This window comes from Homo sapiens, chromosome 18 (genome assembly GCF_000001405.40).
Source record: "Homo sapiens chromosome 18, GRCh38.p14 Primary Assembly".
Lineage (NCBI taxonomy): Eukaryota > Metazoa > Chordata > Mammalia > Primates > Hominidae > Homo > Homo sapiens.
In genome coordinates this window covers 22,065,802-22,082,997 of record NC_000018.10, presented here as the reverse complement: position 1 = coordinate 22,082,997, position 17,196 = coordinate 22,065,802, and the positions used below count along the sequence as shown (strand labels likewise).

Here is a 17,196-nt window from a genome sequence, read left to right as displayed (position 1 = left end):
GGCGGAGGTTACAGTGAGCCGAGATTGAGCCACTGCATTCCAGCCTGGGCAACAGAGTAAAACTCTGTCTAAAAAAATAATAATAATAAATAAAGCCCAAAAACCAACAATAACAACAAAATAAAAACAAACAAATAAATAGGTAAGACCCAATCACTGCCTTCAAGAGCTCTATGGGTTGGGGGGCTGATGGGTGAGCAGCTAGGAAAGAATTGGTGCATTCAGTCCGTGCAAGGAGTAGGGAGCATGGCTGGGCATCCCCTCCCTGGAAGGAGAACGCGGCTGATTGACCACTGGGCCTCCTGGGCCTGCGGTAGCTCACGCTTCTCATAAAGGACACCCCAACAGCGTTAACAACTTCTGAGGCCGGAGCTGGTGCCAGTGGACAGAGCTTGTCAGCAGCCACAGAGCCAAGTGGAGCAGGGAGAAGTCTGACTGTGGAACGGAGCCTGAGCCCGTAGACCTGTGCCTTGCGCACAGAGAAAACTTGCCATTTCGCAGCACCGCCCCACACAACCGCTTGCCAATTGCTTTCCTATGGAGGCGGTGAGACCTTGGGGCAATGCAATGCAATGAACTGAATGCTTGTGTCTCCCCAAAGTTTGTATGTTGAAATCCTAATCCCCAATGTGATGGTATTAGGAAGTGGGACCTTTGGGAGGTGATTTGGTCATGAATGGGATCAGTGCCCTTACAAAAGGGGCCCAGTGGCTGGGAGCAGTGGCTAACGCCTGTAATCGTAGCACTTTGGGAGGCCGAGAGGGGCGGATTGCCTGAGCTCAGGAGCTCGAGACCAACCTGGGCAACACGGTGAAACTCGGTCTGTACTAAAATACAAAAAATCAGCCAGGCGTGGTGGCGGGCGCCTGTAATCCCAGCTGCAGCAGGAGAACCGCTTGAAACCAGAAGGCAGAGGATGCAGTGAGCCCAGGCCGCGCCACCGCACTCCAGCCTGGGTGACAGAGCAAGACTCCCTCTCAACAAAAAAAGAAAAGAAAAGGGGCCCAGAGAGTACTTCCTACCATGTGAGAATCCAGTGAGAAGGCGGCCAGATGTGGGCCAGGAAGCAGGCCCTCCCTAGACCCCGAATCTGCTGGCACCTTGATCTCAGATTTTCCAGTGGCCAGAACTGTGAGAAATAAATTTCTGTAGTTTGTAAGCCACCCAGTGTATGGGATAACTCTGTTAAATCAGCTGAAACTGACTAAGACAAAGGACTAGGGGTTGGGAGCAAAACCTCAAGGCACAGAAACCTCTCAAGGATCAACAAGAGTGAGAACCAGCATAGCCAAAATTCACTAAACATGGAACTAGATGCCCAGGACAATAATGACCTTCCCTGAATAACAGATTTTCTATTGGCAAACTGAAAATCTGTTATTTATTTATTTATTTATTTATTTATTTATTTATTTATTTATTTATTTTGAGATGGAGTTTCGCTCTTGTTGCCCAGTCTGGAATGCAGTGGCGCGATCTCGGCTAACTGCAACCTCCACCTCCCGGATTCAAGCGATTCTCCTGCCTCAGCCTCCAGAGTAGCTGGGATTACAGGCATGCGCCACCACGCCCAGCTAATTTTGTATTTTTAGTAGAGATGGGGTTTCTTCATGTTGGTCAGGCTGGTCTCAAAGAGAATAGAAGTCATTATGGAAGTAACTCAAGGATTTCTTCCCTAGGAAGGTGTTTTTTTTTTCTTTTTTCTTTTTTTTTTTTTTTTTGAGACAGAGTCTCTCTCTGTCACCCAGACTGGAGTGCAGTGGTGCCATCTTGGCTCACTGCAACCTCTGCTTCCTGGGTTGAAGCAATTCTCCTGCCTCAGGCTCCCGAGTAGCTGGGACTACAGGCACCCGCTACCATGCCTGGCCAATTTTTGTATTTTTAGTAGAGACGGGGTTTTGCCATGTTGGCCAGGCTGGTCTCGAATTCCTGACCTCAGGTGATCTGCCAGACTCGGCCTCCCAAAGTGCTGGGATTACAGGCATAAACCACCACACCCGGCCCATAGGAGGTTTTAATTAGGACACCAGTTTGGTAGAAAAATAAGTGTATTTCTTATGTGTCATATAGGACACAGGTGGGTCCTGAAATGTCGTGAGATGAGGCTTCGTGCCTTCTCAAATCATACCTGCCTGGATTCAGTGCTCTTATGTGTAAAATGAAGGATTGAACCAGGTGATCTCTGAGGTTTCACATTTCATCTATTAGCTTCTCTGCCCTGACAAATCATTTCCCCAAAACCCTCTATCAGCAAAGCCCAACACTGGCTTTTCATTCAACCACTATTTATCTTCATCACCAAAGGCCTTTCTCAAAGAAAGAAAACTCCTTAGGAAAGAAAAAGTAAGGAAAAAGAAAAAAGACTCAATAATCTCCTTACCCAGATATTTATTCATCACGATGTCTTAGGTTTAGAGTGATTTTCTTGTTATATTTAGATTACAATCAAACTGTAAAAGAGCTGTTATCTCCCTGTTCCTGCATTTTTTACTTTAAGCTCTGAGACCTTTGTCCTCCTATATTAGAGAAGCTGTAAATACTACAAGGGAATGTTTACATTTTAAAAATCCATTTTCCTGGATCATTTGTAAAAGAAAAAAAAAATCTCTGTACTAACACACCAATTCATCTTGACTTTGTAAAAACCGTTTCCCACAGCAATTACATTTTGCACAAAGCCACCTTCCCTTCAGCAACATTCCGTTTCTCCCAGCTTTTGTTGTAGTTTCACACTATGTCTCTCACTCAATCTTTCATTCTCTTCACCTTGACAAGTCCCTGATAGGGCTGAAAGTGCTATCCAAGTGGCCAAGGAAAAAGACAGGCAGAACTTGCTCTTGTAAACGTGAGACAGACCTTGTGAAAGGTGTGGAGCTTGGGAATTTGTTGTGTTCTGAATTTGAAATCAGTGTTAGTGAGGGATTTCTGTTTAGCCTTTCAGAAAAAATGGGCTTGGGAGTCCTTTCTAAAAGTTAGAAAAATCCTAATCTAGTTCTCAGGAAACCAAATAGCAGCTCTCAGTTGGTCACTGAGAAAGCAAACACCTTGCCAGAAAACCCTTTGATGACCAGCAAAAGGTCAAGAGAAAGACAAGCAGAGGTAATCCACAGGAGATGTCTGGCAAGAGAGTCTGGGGGGATTTCAGCCATCCCCAGAACAGACTTGTGGAGGGCTGCACCCATGCTCCACACGTGCACACGAGTCCAGTGGGGAACACTCCAACGACTCAAATCAGAACATCAGACAATATGGCCAGGCACGGTGACTCATGCCTGTAATCCCAGCACTTCAGAACACCAAGCGGGGATGGATCACCTGAGGTCAGGAGTTCGAGACCAGCCTGGCCAACAGTCAAAACCCCATCTCTACTAAAAATACAAAAATTAGCCGGGCATGGTGGTACATGCCTGTAGTCCCAGCTACTCCAGAGACTGAGGCAGGAGAATCGCTTGAACCCAGGAGGCAGAGATTACAGTGAGCCGAGATTGTGCCACTGCCCTCCAGCCTGGGCAACAGAGCAAGTCTCTGTCAAAAAAAACAAAAACAACAACAACAACAAAAAAAAAAAACAGCCAACGTGTGTTCAGGTAGAGCATTGACCTTGGCAGGAAGAGCCACACACAATTCACATGAGGTGAGTGGAGAGTGGAGGCAGGGCGGTGGCGAAGTCATCGTGATTGGTGACCAAACAACTCAGATCTTCACGTCTGAGGTGGACTCTGGAGAAGATGTTTCTCATCCACTGTAGGCGCCGCTGGAAGGATTTGCAGGGTGGCACTCTGTGTTCTTACTGGAGGTTCCCTTCATTCTGAAGTCACTTCTCAAACTTCTGTAGGTGTTGTGCCTTACAGAGCCTTGATAGGTCAAAATAAATACCATTACCCATATCCAGAAAAAACATGTGTGCAGTTCACACTGCCAAGACCACATTCAACAACACGCAATTCAGTCAACTACATTGTTGCACACAACCATATGAAAAGCACTGTTCTTAGAAAGAAGGGCTTGGGGGGGATAGTAAAAGAAACAAGATTTGGTTGGGCGCGGTGGCTCATACCTGTAATCCCAGCTGTTTTGGAGGCCAAGGCAGGCAGATCACGAGGTCAGGAGATCGAGACCATCCTGGCTAACACAGTGAAACCCCATCTCTACTAAAAATACAAAAAAAATTAGCCGGGCGTGGTGGTGGGTGCCTGTAGTCCCAGCTGCTCGGGAGGCTGAGGCAGGAGAATGGCATGAACCCGGGAGGCAGAGCTTTCAGTGAGCCAAGATCATGCCACTGCATTCCAGCCTGGGCAACAGAGCAAGACTCTGAGAAAGAAAGAGGAAGAAAGAAAGAATGAGAGAGAGAGAGAAGGAAAGAAGGAAAGAAAGAAAGAAAGAAAGAAAGAAAGAAAGAGAGAGAAAGAAAGAAAGAAGGAAGGAAGGAAGGAAAGAAAGAAAAAGAAAGAAAGAAAGAAAGAAAGAAAGAAAGAAAGAAAGAAAGAAAGAAAGAAAGGAAGGAAGGAAGGAAGAAAGAAAGAAAGAAAAATTCATCTCCTCCCCTCATATAAGAACCAAATAATTATAGTAGCATATGGAGTGGCCAGGCGTGGTGGCTCACGCTATAATCCCAGCAGTTTGGGAGGCCGAGGTAGGTGAATCACCTGAGGTCAGGAGCTTGAGACCAGCCTGGCCAACATGGTGAAACCCTGTCTCTACTAAAAATACAAAAATTAGCCAGGCATGGTGGCACGTGCCTGTAGTCCCAGCTACTCGGGAGGCTAAGACGAGAGAATCGCTTGAATCCGGGAGGCAGAAGTTGCAGTGAGCCGAGATTGCACCATTGCACTCAAGGCTGGGCAACAAAAAAGAAACTCTGTCTCAAAAAAAAAAAGAAGAAAAAAAAATAGCATACGGAGTGAGAGGATGGATAAGTGAACCTGGCACATATTTGGTGCTCAATAGATGTTTACTGAGTGAAGAATAATTAAATGGCAAGAAAATAGTTATCTTAGAAGAACAAATGAGAAGGGAATCATTTCTGGCTGGGGACACCCAGGAGTTGACATTTGAATTTGACCTTGAACAGTGGGTAGGATGCTTTTGGTGATGAGAAACCCATTCTAGGTAAGGGAGGAATGCCAGGAAAGAGTAGGGACTTAAGAATGTGCGAGTATGCCGGGCGCGGTGGCTCCTGCCTGTAATCCCAGCACTTTGGGAAGTTGAGGCGGACAGATCATCTGAGTTCAGGAGTTCGAGACCAGCCTGACCAACATGGTGAAACCCCATCTCTCCTAAAAATACAAAATTACCCAGGCGTGGTGGCACATGCCTGTAATCCCAGCTACCTGGGAGGCTGAGGCAGGAGAATCGCCTGAACCTGGGAGGCAAAGGTTGCAGTGAGCCAAGATAGGGCCATTGCACTCTAGCCTGGATGACAGAGCAAAACTCCATCTCAAAAAAATAAAAAAAAAAAAGAATGTGCAAGTTTATAGCAGAAGGGCTGGTGGCCTATTGGGATGGAAAATTTAAAGACAAGCAGTAGGAATCAGTTGGGATTATGACAGGCAGCTTTGGGTTTGAAAAAGGAAGTTCCAGATGTCAAAGCAGTTTAGACTGAGGGGAGGCTTTTAACTTTTTAGGATAACATCTGTAAGTTTCAATATATGGAAAAGATATCTGCACTCCCATCTTTATCGCAGCACTATTCACAATAGCTAAAATATAGAATCAATCTAAGTATCCATCAATGGATGAGTGAATAAAGAAAAGGTGATGTATACACAATGGAATATTATTCAGCAATGAAAAAGAATGAGATCCTGTCATTTGCAGCAACAGGCATGGAACTGGAAGTCACTGTGTTGTGAAATAAGCCAAGCATGGATAAGCAAATATCACATGTTCTCACTCATATTTGGGAGCTAAAAACATAAATCTCATGAAGTTAGAGAATAGACTGGTGGTTACTGGAGGCTGAAAGGGGAGGAGGTGGGGGGATGAAGAGAGGTTGATTAATGGGTACAAATATACAGTTTGATAGAAGAAATAAGACCTGGTGTTTGATAGATCAGTAAGGTGACTATGGTTTACAATAATCTGTTGTATATTTTGAAATAGCTAGAAGGGAATAAAGCAAATGTTTTAGCATAAAGAAAAGTATTCAAGGTGATGAATATCCCAATTACACTGATTTGATCTTTGTGAATTCTATGAATGTATTAAGTTATCATATGTACTCCCCAAAATAGGTACATCTATTATGTATCAATAAAAAAATTTAAAACAAAACTTATGAGGTCCATCAATTGATCAATCTATTTGCAAAGCAGTGTTCAGTTCATGGCTTTTGTATTCTCATCTATGTTGGCCTGAACCACTTCAAGTGCATTCGTAGGCCCACAAAACAATCTTGTAATTAATATTTGAGCCAAACTAGACCTACTGCAGCTGGTGCAGCCCACCTCATGAAGGGTGAATTATCAGGGCAAAAGAGGAAAGGTGCCCAGCATGGAGGAGGAAAGGATGGATTCAACTCCTGGACAACCCAGGAGAATCCAGAAGCAGCTGAGGTTTCCATTGAATTCAATATAACTAATAGTTACTAAGAACAATGCTGTGGTCATTTTGGTCTATGCTATAGACATCCTTCAGAGGCAGACAGTCTACTAGGGGACGTACATCACCAATAACCATAAAGAGCTCCCATGAGGGGCCAGTCTCAGTGGTTCATGTCTGTAATCCCAGGTGTCAGCCTGGGCAACGTGGCAAGACCTCATCTCTACAAAAAAATTTAAAAATTAGCTGGGCATGTTGGCACATGCCTGTAGTCCCAGCTACTTGGGAGGCTGAGGTGGGAGGGTCGCTTGAGCCCAGGAGGTAGACGTTGCAGTGAGCTATAATGGCACCACTGCACTCCAGCCTGGGCAACAGAGCAAGATTCTTTCACAAAACAAACAACAACAACAACAACAAAACCCCGCAAAACTCCCAGATGATTCTACAGCACAGCCTGGGTTGGTAGCTACTTCTATAGAGCAGGAGCTGACTGGGGACTTTTGGGGAGGAATGAGCTGTACCATTTGGAAATTTAGGTCATAGGAGGTGGGCAAGGAGAGGCAGAACCTGCAGAATTGGGGGACACCTAGGAGTTAGCAGGCCTTGGTGCCTGTGATTCAGTCCACAAGTACTGAAGGCCTTGTTCTCCTTAAATGAATCTCCCTGCTGTTTAGGACAGGCAACAAAAAAGAAGCAGTTTTACACATCTTAAACCTAGAGAGAGTCCTATGTTGGGATTGCGTAGGGCATTTCACCACTTTCTCTAATAAATCCTTCCAACCAGCACTCATAGATAATAAGGAGAGTAGAGAGAAGGCAAAGGTTTCATTTTATCTTAGCAAGAGGAGAAATAGCATGAATTAGAGGAAAGCTGGGGAGATGGGTATCTTAAAAAACATTTTTTCCTCTGATCCACCACCCTAGCAACCTTCCACCAACAAATAATACATGACAGAGCATATATCCTCTCTTTGGAGTGGCTGTTAATCAATATTCTAGAGGAACCAGTTAATTTCTCTGATATTAAAGGCCAACCATTCAAATTATATCAGGCTTAACTTGTAAGCCACAGACTGTACAAAGCAGGTAAGTCTCCATTTAGTAAAATGTATTGCGCATCTGTCCTGGGTGCCCCCGCACCATGCTCTAGGGGCTTGAGAACACAGGGCTGAGCAAGTCTTGGCCCTGCTCCCAAGGCCATCCAGTAGAGGAGACAGCTTCTCATGGGATAAGGACTGGGATTGTGGTAGCACACGGTTTTTGGTGGGACACACAGGAGACACATCCCAGCTGGGCCAGGGTGACTAGGTAGCCAGACAAATGGTGGTGGGTGGGCTGGAGGGTCAGGGCTTATTCATTCCAGGCAGAGGAGGCAGCAAGAGCCAAAGCATAGGAAACCTGACCGAGGATGGAGGGAGTGACCTATTTCAGTTACTTGTGATGGAACTGAGAATTCCAAGGATGAGTTCATTTTTGAAATGAGACTGGAGATGCAAGGCACATGAAGGCAGGGGCCTCAGGGCCATGTTGAATGAGAACTGTGGTCTTGATGCTAAGAGCCAAGGGTGGTTTCACAGAGCAGGGAAATGACGTCATCAGATCTGAAGACTACTCCAGCAGCTGAGTGAAGAGAACGTGGCAAGTTTCAAAAATATTAAGAACAAGGAAGGTGCCATAGAGGGATAGAAGCCCATGAAAGAGACAGAGGAGCACCTGGGGAAGCAGGAAGAAAACCCTAGAAGTGAAGGGAAGAATGCTCAAACGTGAAATCCAAGAAGCTAGGGACTGAAAAGTGTCTGCTCAGCTCAAATTTCTCTGGAGCAGACTATAGGTGACCTTGGCCAGACCTTGGCCCACAGAGTGGTGGGATCAAGCCAGATTCCAGCGGTTTGAGGTATAAATGGAAGTGAGGGAACAGGGTTGAATGTAAACAACTCTTGCCCCAAGCAGGGCAATTAAAGAGAGTAGAGAGATAGCTTGATGGCTTATGGTAAGGGCCAAATGAGATAATGCATGCACAAGGACCTGGTGACTGGTGCTCTAGGACACTTACTCATGATTATTAGAGCATGAAGTCCTATCCACATCCCCGCCACCAGAAGCTAGAGTCCTAAGTGCCAAGGAGGGCTTCCTGCCTGCCATACACCAGCTCCTTTATTCTACACTACTTCTGTGTGAGATAGGGATTATCACTCCACTTTATAGATGACAAAATTAAAGCTCAGGGAGGCAATTTGCCCTGGGTCATTACCAAGCCACAGAATGGGGATTAAACCAGACATCAGTCTTTGTGGTCTGTCTTCTTTTCAATATGTGACACTGTCCCTTTGTGTTCTTTAAATAGAGGTTCCTGGAAGATGGGCAAGGTTTTCCAGCAACCCGAGTCATGGCTTGCCAATGGTGAAGTGTGGCCAGTATGGGTCTGAGTTTGAACACTTCTTGGTTGAAGTGTGGTGGAGCCCACAGCAGCGCTTTGCTCTGGTTATGCTGTTGGAGGCATCTTCAAATATGAGTCTCCCAAGTGATGTGGCTACAGTAACTAGACTGTTTCCTCACTCTCCACTCCCTGGGTTCAAATCCTGCCCTCATCACTTATCACCTGCAAGCTTTAATTTTCAAGTCAGGGGAAAAAAATAAAGAGAATAAAATAAATCTAGAGTTTATACAGAGATAATTTAATCATCAGTCACATGGGGGAATGTTTATAAAGTACTTTGCCCAGTGCTGACACAATAAACACTGAGTAAATGGTGGCTATTAGCATTTATATTGTTCCTCCACCTCCTCCCCATTGCACATCTGCACTTGAACCCTAACCCAGGCTTACTCTCCAACAGCATAATCGACGGGGCAAAGTGCTGCTGCCGCAGGATTCAACATACCTCAGCTGAGAACTGTTGAAACTCGGACCCATGCTGGCCCAACCCCGTGGGTAATTTCAGGGAAGTCCCTTGACCAAAAGAGTCTCCTCCACCACTGGCAAAAGCCATGACCTGGGTCTTGAGAAACCTTGCCCATCTTCCAGGATCCCCTATTTAAATGCAAGTAGCCATAAGAAGGGTCTGTAGAAGGCAGGACATTGACCTCTGGCAAACAGAAAACAGGCAGAAGGCGGAAAGAAGAACCAACCGTGTCAGTGCTAATAATGTTAGAGCTTTGGCCCGGCGTGGTGGCTCATGCCTGTAATCCTAGCCCTTTGGGAGGCCGAGGCAGATGGATTGAGAACAGCCTGATCAACATGGTGAAACCTCATCTCTACTAAATACAAAAAAAATTAGCCAGGCATGGTGGTGCATGCCTGTAATCCCAGTTAGTAGAGAGGCTGTGGCGGAAGAATCACTTGAACCCGGGAGGTGGAGGTTGCAGTGAGCTGAGATTATACCACTGCACTCCTACCTGGGTGACAGAGCAAGACTCGGTCTCAAAAAATAAGTAAATAAATAAATACAGTGAAAAAAAATAATGTTAGGGCTTTGAGGTCACTGACCATAACCCTATGCTCCCCTCATTGAACCTCATTGTAATTCAGCACTGAGGCCACTCCAGAAAAATATGTAAAAATCAACAATTCCTCCCACTCTTTTCTATATCCCAGTCCCAGGAATGGACAAGGCCTTCCATTTCATGCATAACCTTCCAAATCTTTCTCTATACATACAAAAAAATTGCACATGAATGTTTGAGGATGATGCTGTTCAATTTTTCTCCAATTCACTTTCTTCACCACTTGATACCATAGACATCCTCCATGTCAGAAACCCAAATTGGCCAAGCATGCCATGGCAGCTCATACCTGCAATCCCAGCATTTTGGCAGGCCAAGGCAGGAGGATGGCTTGAGCCGAGAAGTTTGAGACAAGCCTAGGCAACAAAGCGAGACACTATCTCTACAAAAAAATAAAATAATTAGCTGGGCATGGTGGCTCGCGGCTGTAGTCCCAGCTACTTGGGAGGCTCAGGCAGGAGGATCTCCTGAGCCTATAGTGAGCTAGAATTGCACCACTGCACTCCAGCCTGGCCAACAAAGAAAGACCCTGTCTCTTAAAAAAAAAAAAAAAGAAAAAGAAAAGAAAAGAAATACAAATCTACTCTTCCCTTAATAACAGCTATATAGTTTTCTTTTTTTTTTTTTTGAGATGGAGTTTCGCTCTTGTCACCCAGGCTGGAGTGCAATGGCACGATCTCGGCTCCCTGCAACCTCCGCCTCCCAGGTTCAAGTGATTCTCCTGCCTCAGCCTCCCAAGTAGCTGGGATTACAGGCATGCACCAACACGCCTGGCTAATTTTGCGTTTTTAGTAGAGATGGGGTTTCACCATGTTGGTAAGGCTGGTCTCGAACTCCTGACTTCAGGTGATCCACCCGCCTCGGCCTCCCAAAGTGCTGGGATTACAGGCATGAGCCACTGTGCCCTGCCCAACAGCTATATAGTTTTCTGCGGTATCAATGTCGCTGGGCCTTTTAACCATTAGTTCCAGTATTTCATTTCCATAATATAGGGTCCTAGAAGTGGAAGCATTTGATCCAACTCATTTGTAAAAGCTGTTAGTTAATACAAAATCACCCTCTAAATATGCTTTCCTTTCCTTCCCAAGCCTGGAACACGAGGACTACATGGTATCCAGATACAATTGTAATCTAGCACAGTCTACGCAGGAAAGCAACTAAGCCAGACCCAAAAAAAAAAAATTACATTTTGTTGAGCTCACTTTGTTTAAAAAGGTACATAATACATATTAGGAAAGATTCCAATTCAAAATGACTCAGCAAACAATTTCTGAGCCCCTGTATTTTGCCACCTGCATTTGGTGAAGTTCTGGGGATAGGAAGACAAATAAGACATCACCCTGCTTGTTCACAGCCTGGAAGAAGAGGCAGAGACTGGGCACAGTAGGACGCTTGTGCAGGGCCTACGGAGAGTGGAAAGCCAGCCAGAAACATGGAGCAGATCTGGCTGGAAGAAACTTGGTGTGCACATGAGAAGGAAAGAGAGAGAGAGGGAAGAAGGTGCCAGATCTTGAAGGACTCTGAATGCCACACAAAGGGCTTTATACTTTTTCTCAGAAACTCTACAAAACTATTAAAACCCTTTAAGCTGGAGAATGACAGGCAGATTTTCATTTTAGAAAACTTGCTCTGGCTACAGGGTGGAGAATGGATTGAAAGGAAGCTGACTAGAGAAAAGGATGTAGGCTAAGTTGTCCCAGGGTTCCGCATATAGGGACTCAGCGTGGGTTTCTGAAGCCACATTGGAGAATGTTCAAGGCAGAAGGATGGTGTGGATTCTGTGCCTTATTCTACCTGGAGGTGAGGCCGGAGCAGGTAGAGATGTGGGGATAAAGAGGCATGGTGTCTCATGCCTGTAATCCCAGCATTTGGGGAGGCCGAGGTGGGAGGATCGCTTGAGCCCAAGAGTTCAAGACCAGCATGGGCAACATAGCAAGACCTTGTCTCTATTTAAAAAAAAAAAAGTTTCTTGAAGGTTACTGGAGAATAGACTGATTTTGCTAATGTCATGTACTGGTGAAGCCAGTTCAGGGAAGAGTTATAGGAGATCCCTCAGTCTGCTGAAAAGAAAGTATTGTAAGAACGTGACAGGGAGCACACACTAGGGATCCGCCCTGGGGTGAAGATGATCCCTAGGAGTCACAAGTCTGACTTGGCAATTGAGGCCCTGCAGGACATTTGCTCCCAAGGCCGTCTCTGTCCTGGGCCTTGTCTCCTGATCTAGCAGACGGCCCTCTCTGCTTTCCTTTACTCAGTTTATAACCTCTTTAGCAGGACACAGGGCCCGACATGCCCACAGTCTTTCTGAACGGGAAAAACAAAAACTACAGCAAAATGACAGCTGAAGTTTTTCAAAATAAGAGACCATGACTATGATTTAAAGGATTTGGGGAAAAGATGCATTATATTTAAACCCCACAGATTTCACTGTTACGTATATTTCAAAAATTTTTTCCAACATATCCCCGGAGACATTTCTTGTGTATTTTAAATGAGCCTGTGGACTTCCCTGTTTTCCAGAGACCCAACTCTGAAAAAACAGTGCCCTCAACTCACTTCAAGGAGACAATGGGCTTCTCAAAGAACCCAATACCTGGAGTTTTACCCCAATCCTGGTCAGAAACTTGTTTTCTGAGCCCAGGAATGAGCTCACCCTCCAGGGGTGTAATTCAGTATCGCGTCAACCAAGAGGGATCACAGGACACCCTCTGGGGTGGGCTGAGCACTTCCAGCATACTCCAGAGACTAACAGAGGCCAGCATTGTCGTTCCCCTCCCCCAAAAGGATCAATATGAGCCAGTCGGTGTAAACAGATCCTCCTCTGCACCAATGAAGCCACACAGGAACATCTAAAGGAGAGGTAACAACGCCACTTTGTGAAGCTGCTGGCATGGCGCCATCTTGCTTCTCTCTCCCTAGAGGGCAGGGCCATGGTGCCACCTGCATATTTGTGCAGTAAGCCTCACTACACATTTGGGAAACATCCACGAGCTATTTGAGTTGTTCGTGTGGGGCTGCAGATTCACCCCAGGCAGGAGCCAAAGCCCCTCACATAGTGGTACAAGTGCTATCTTTTCTCTCTACAGGGGCCAGAGATACTCTGTAATGTGGGTAGGGCAGGGTCTGGTCTCAGACAAATGAATGGAAGTGGGGGGGATACGGGCCGGCACTGTGTGTTCTTTTCCACCATACAAGTCTTGAGCCTCACACAAAGACCCTCCTTCAGGCGGCCAGTCTGTGCCAAGTCGGTTCTGTTTTCACACCTCTGTTTCGAGATAAGAGGTAATGCTTGGGAATCACATAACCGAGTTGCGAAATGAACCTGATCAGCTAAAATTGACTATTTTAGGTGCCAAAGTGGGAGCAAGCTTGGGAGGTGTTCAATGGGGCCCGTTTTCCTTCCTGCACACCCAAGAGCAGCACTTGCCTATAGGCCTCCGGTTGGCTGGCCCATTGGCTAAGGCTCAGAGAACTCAGGGACTTGTGCTCAGCCAAGTGCACTGACTTTCACTCACTGCCTCTTAGAAAGAACTGAGGTTAGCTGACACCAGGAAGCCCGCCTCCGACCCTCCCAACAGCCCAGGCAACTGCTCCGTTGGCAGGCAGCACCTGTCAGGAGCTCAGTTTCCCAGACCTTGGGGGTTTTAGGGGATGAAGGCTAAATGTTGAAGGGCCCTTGGATCTCTGGCCCCCTAAATATGACCAGCTGAGACACCCACAGCACAGAAAAGCAAAGTGCATAAGGATGCCATGCACTCCTGATCCATGCTTGATCCATTTCTTAAAAGGAGATGGGAGGACACCCATATTCAGATGTGTAAGCAGAAGCTGTAGGGAGGTCCACTCCTCGGAGTGGCTAATCATGATCATGTTGTTGCTGCTTCTGCTTCTTCTTCTTCTTCTTCTTCTTCTTCTTCTTCTTCTTCTTCTTCTTCTTCTTCTCCTTCTCCTTCTTCTCCTTCTTCCTCTTCCTCCTCCTCCTCCTCTTCCTCTTCTTCTCCTTCTCCTTCTCCTTCTCCTTCTTCCTCTTCCTCTTCCTCTTCCTCTTCTTCTTCTTCTTCTTCTTCTTCTTCTTCTTCTTCTTCTTCTTCTTTTCCTTCTTCTTCTTCTTTTTCAGACAGAGTCTGACTCTGTCACCCCGGCTGGAGTACAGTGGCACAATCTCAGCTCACTGCAACCTCTGCCTCCTGGACTCAAGCAATCCTCCCACCTCAGCCTCCCCAGTAGCTGGAACCACAGGTGTGTACCACCATGCCCAGCTAATTTTTGTATTTTTGGTAGACATGGGGCTTCAGCATGTTGCCCTTGGGGATTTTAGAGGATGAAGGCTAAGTGTTGAAGGGCGCTTGGATTCCTGGGCTCAAGTGATTCTCCTGCCTTGGCATCCTAAAGTGCTAGGATTATTGGCATGAACCATCACACCCAGGTATACTGCTTCTTTAATCTGTCCTGGCTACAGCCCTGCTCAAGCTTTGTCTCCTTTGGGCACCATACCTGCCTGGCTCCTCTCCTAGCCAGCAGGCTTAGGAGGCTTCTAACCACCAGCCTCCTCCAAACAACGGCTAATTACAGTTCATCATTGAAATTGTCATGGTGTCAATCATCATCCCCACTACTCTCGTTGGCCTGGTATTGCTAACTTCAACTTCATAGACCTTGGGCTCAGAGTTGGCAGCCCACACATCCTCCACAATACCTTGCACAATGGAGATGTGTTGAATGAATGGATGGGAAACTGGGTGGATGAAGAAAGTCTTTCCTATCATTGACATTTAATGAGATTAAAGGCTAACTCCTCCACAGAGCTAAGCTGAATGTGGTTTCTCTGAGTTGGGAGGGGAGTAGGGGGCAGGGATAGGGAAGTGGGTTTCATGCTCCTTGCAAACAGTACTACTTGTGTATCAACAGGTAGGTGCCAACTAATGCCAAATTTGGATAGAAAACCTGATAGAGACTCAGGATGTATTCCAAAGGTTAATTGTAACTGATGGCTGCCACTCAGCAACAAGTAGAGACAAGTGGCAGAGCACCACCGCCTCGCCTTCTTTTCTCCCAGACTCCGTGACCTTGACTGTGGTGCTTTCCTGGGTAGAAGGCAGCTTTGCCAGGCTTATGTCACTCTCCCATGTCCTTATTCCCTCTTGCCTGGCAGAACTTGGTTCTCCTCTTGGTTATTCAACAAGCCTTTTAGGAAAGGGGACTACTTATCTTTATTATTATCAATATAATTGTTAAACCATGGACTTAATGTACTGAAAGATCCTGTCCACCAAACAAACTGTATTTTTTATTGTTTTTTAAATTAAAAAAAATTTTTAGAGATGGGGTCTTACTGTGTTGCCCAGGCTGGTTTGAACTCCTGGCCTCATGGCAATTCCCCTACTTCAGCTTCCCAAGTAGCTGGAACCATAGGCGGGAGCCACTGTGCCCAGTATAAACTGAATTTAAGTAATGCATCTTTGAAATCAGCATAGATGACCAGTGTCACCATATTGGGTAGATACAATTCAAGCCCAAAGCAAAGAACCTGAGTTTCGTTTCTTTTCTTTCTCTCTTTCTCTTTCTTTCTCTTTTTTTCTTTCTCTCTCTTTCTTTTTTCTTTCCTTCCTTCCTTCCTCCCTCCCTCCCTTCTCTTCCTTCCTTCCTTTCCCTTCTTCTTCCTTTCCCTTCCCTTCCCTTCTCCTTCCTTCCTTCCTCTCTTTCTTTCTTTCTTTCTCTCTTATTCTCTTTCTTTCTTTCTTTCTTTCTTTTCCTTCCTTCTTTCTAGACAGAGTCTCACTTATCACCCAGGGACTGGAGTGTAGTGGCATGATCTCAGCTCACTGCAACCTCCACCTCCCGGATTCAAGCGATTCTCCCACCTCAGCCTCCTGAGTAGCTGGGATTGCAGGTGTGCACCACCACCACCTGAGTAGCTGGGACTACGGGCACGTGCCACCATGCCCAGCTAATTTTTGTATTTTTAGTAGAGATGGGGTTTTGCCATGTTGGCGAGGCTGGTCTTGAACTCCTGACCTCAGGTGATCTGCCTGCCTCAGCCTCCCAAAGTGCTGGGATTATAGGCATGAGCCACTGCACCCAGCCCTGAGTTTCTATAACTCATGCATTCTTATTTCAGGTCAACGCATTAATTTTGTTTTGCCATTTGTAACATAAAAATGGCTTAGAGTGGTGCTCCCACCTCTGTCCCCCCAGCACTACCTGCAGATACCAAGTTAGAACTAAAAACCATATATCGCTCCTCCTACAGGAGTGAAATCAAGGGAGACTGCAGTATAGGAAAGATCATTTTCTCCTGGTTTTTCTGGGGTAAGAAAAGCCACTGGACTCAGAGACAGATCTCATGGAAAACCCATCTCTTCAGCTTCGGGGTTGACCAAAGCAAGTTTTTTCCTATATCAGACCACCTCTTCCCCACTCAACAAGAACCGAGCTGAAGACGGTCCCCTGGAGGTGTGCTCACTTCACTCTTGTGCCATCCTAAATGACCCTTCTTTGCCCACCTCATGTAGGAAGAATGTGTGCCTCAGGTGACAGCGGTTGCCATGGCAACATTTTATTTATTTATTTATTTCAGACAGGGTTGCTCTGTAACCCAGGCTGGAGTGCAGTGGCATGATCACGGCTCACTGCGGGCCTCAACCTCCTGGGCTCAAGTGATCCTCCCACCCCGCCCTCCCAAACTGTTGCGAATATAGGCCCGCGCCACCACGCCCAGGCACCGAGGCAACATTTAAGGCCCTCTGTTATCTGGCTCTAACCTACCTCCCAGAGGATCTTATCTCCTCCACCCACCCATCCATACTACTTATTTTGCAACCAATGGTCCAGGGGAAATCAGGGCCACAGCTGGGGGTAGGTGGGGTGGGGTGGAGGAGGTTCAGAATTTCCGGGGAGGGGTGGGTGTAGTTTGAAAAATATAGTATGATCATTTTATATGTGGAAAATGAAAGCAAACTCCTATTTTGGTCCAATATAAATTACAGGAAGAAAATTTTGATAACATCTTGGCTAATGGAGAGCCACTGAAAATAACCAGGGACCACCTCAGTTTGGGGGAGTAGAGCAGTGAGTGTGGAGGTGGGGGATGAGATGGCCATGTTTATCGGAAAGTGGGGCAAGGGCATAGCAGAGCGCCTGGAATCCCAGCTG

The 17,196-nt window shown here is 46.1% G+C and overlaps 1 annotated feature.

Moving 5' to 3' along the window:
* Window positions 12,736–13,030: an enhancer, noted in NCBI's record as "tiled region #2921; HepG2 Activating DNase matched - State 8:EnhW, and K562 Activating non-DNase unmatched - State 21:Repr". NCBI's record gives its function as "activates a minimal TATA promoter and a strong SV40 promoter by Sharpr-MPRA in HepG2 and K562 cells {active_cell/tissue: HepG2 | K562}" and the evidence as "EXISTENCE:reporter gene assay evidence [ECO:0000049][PMID:27701403]".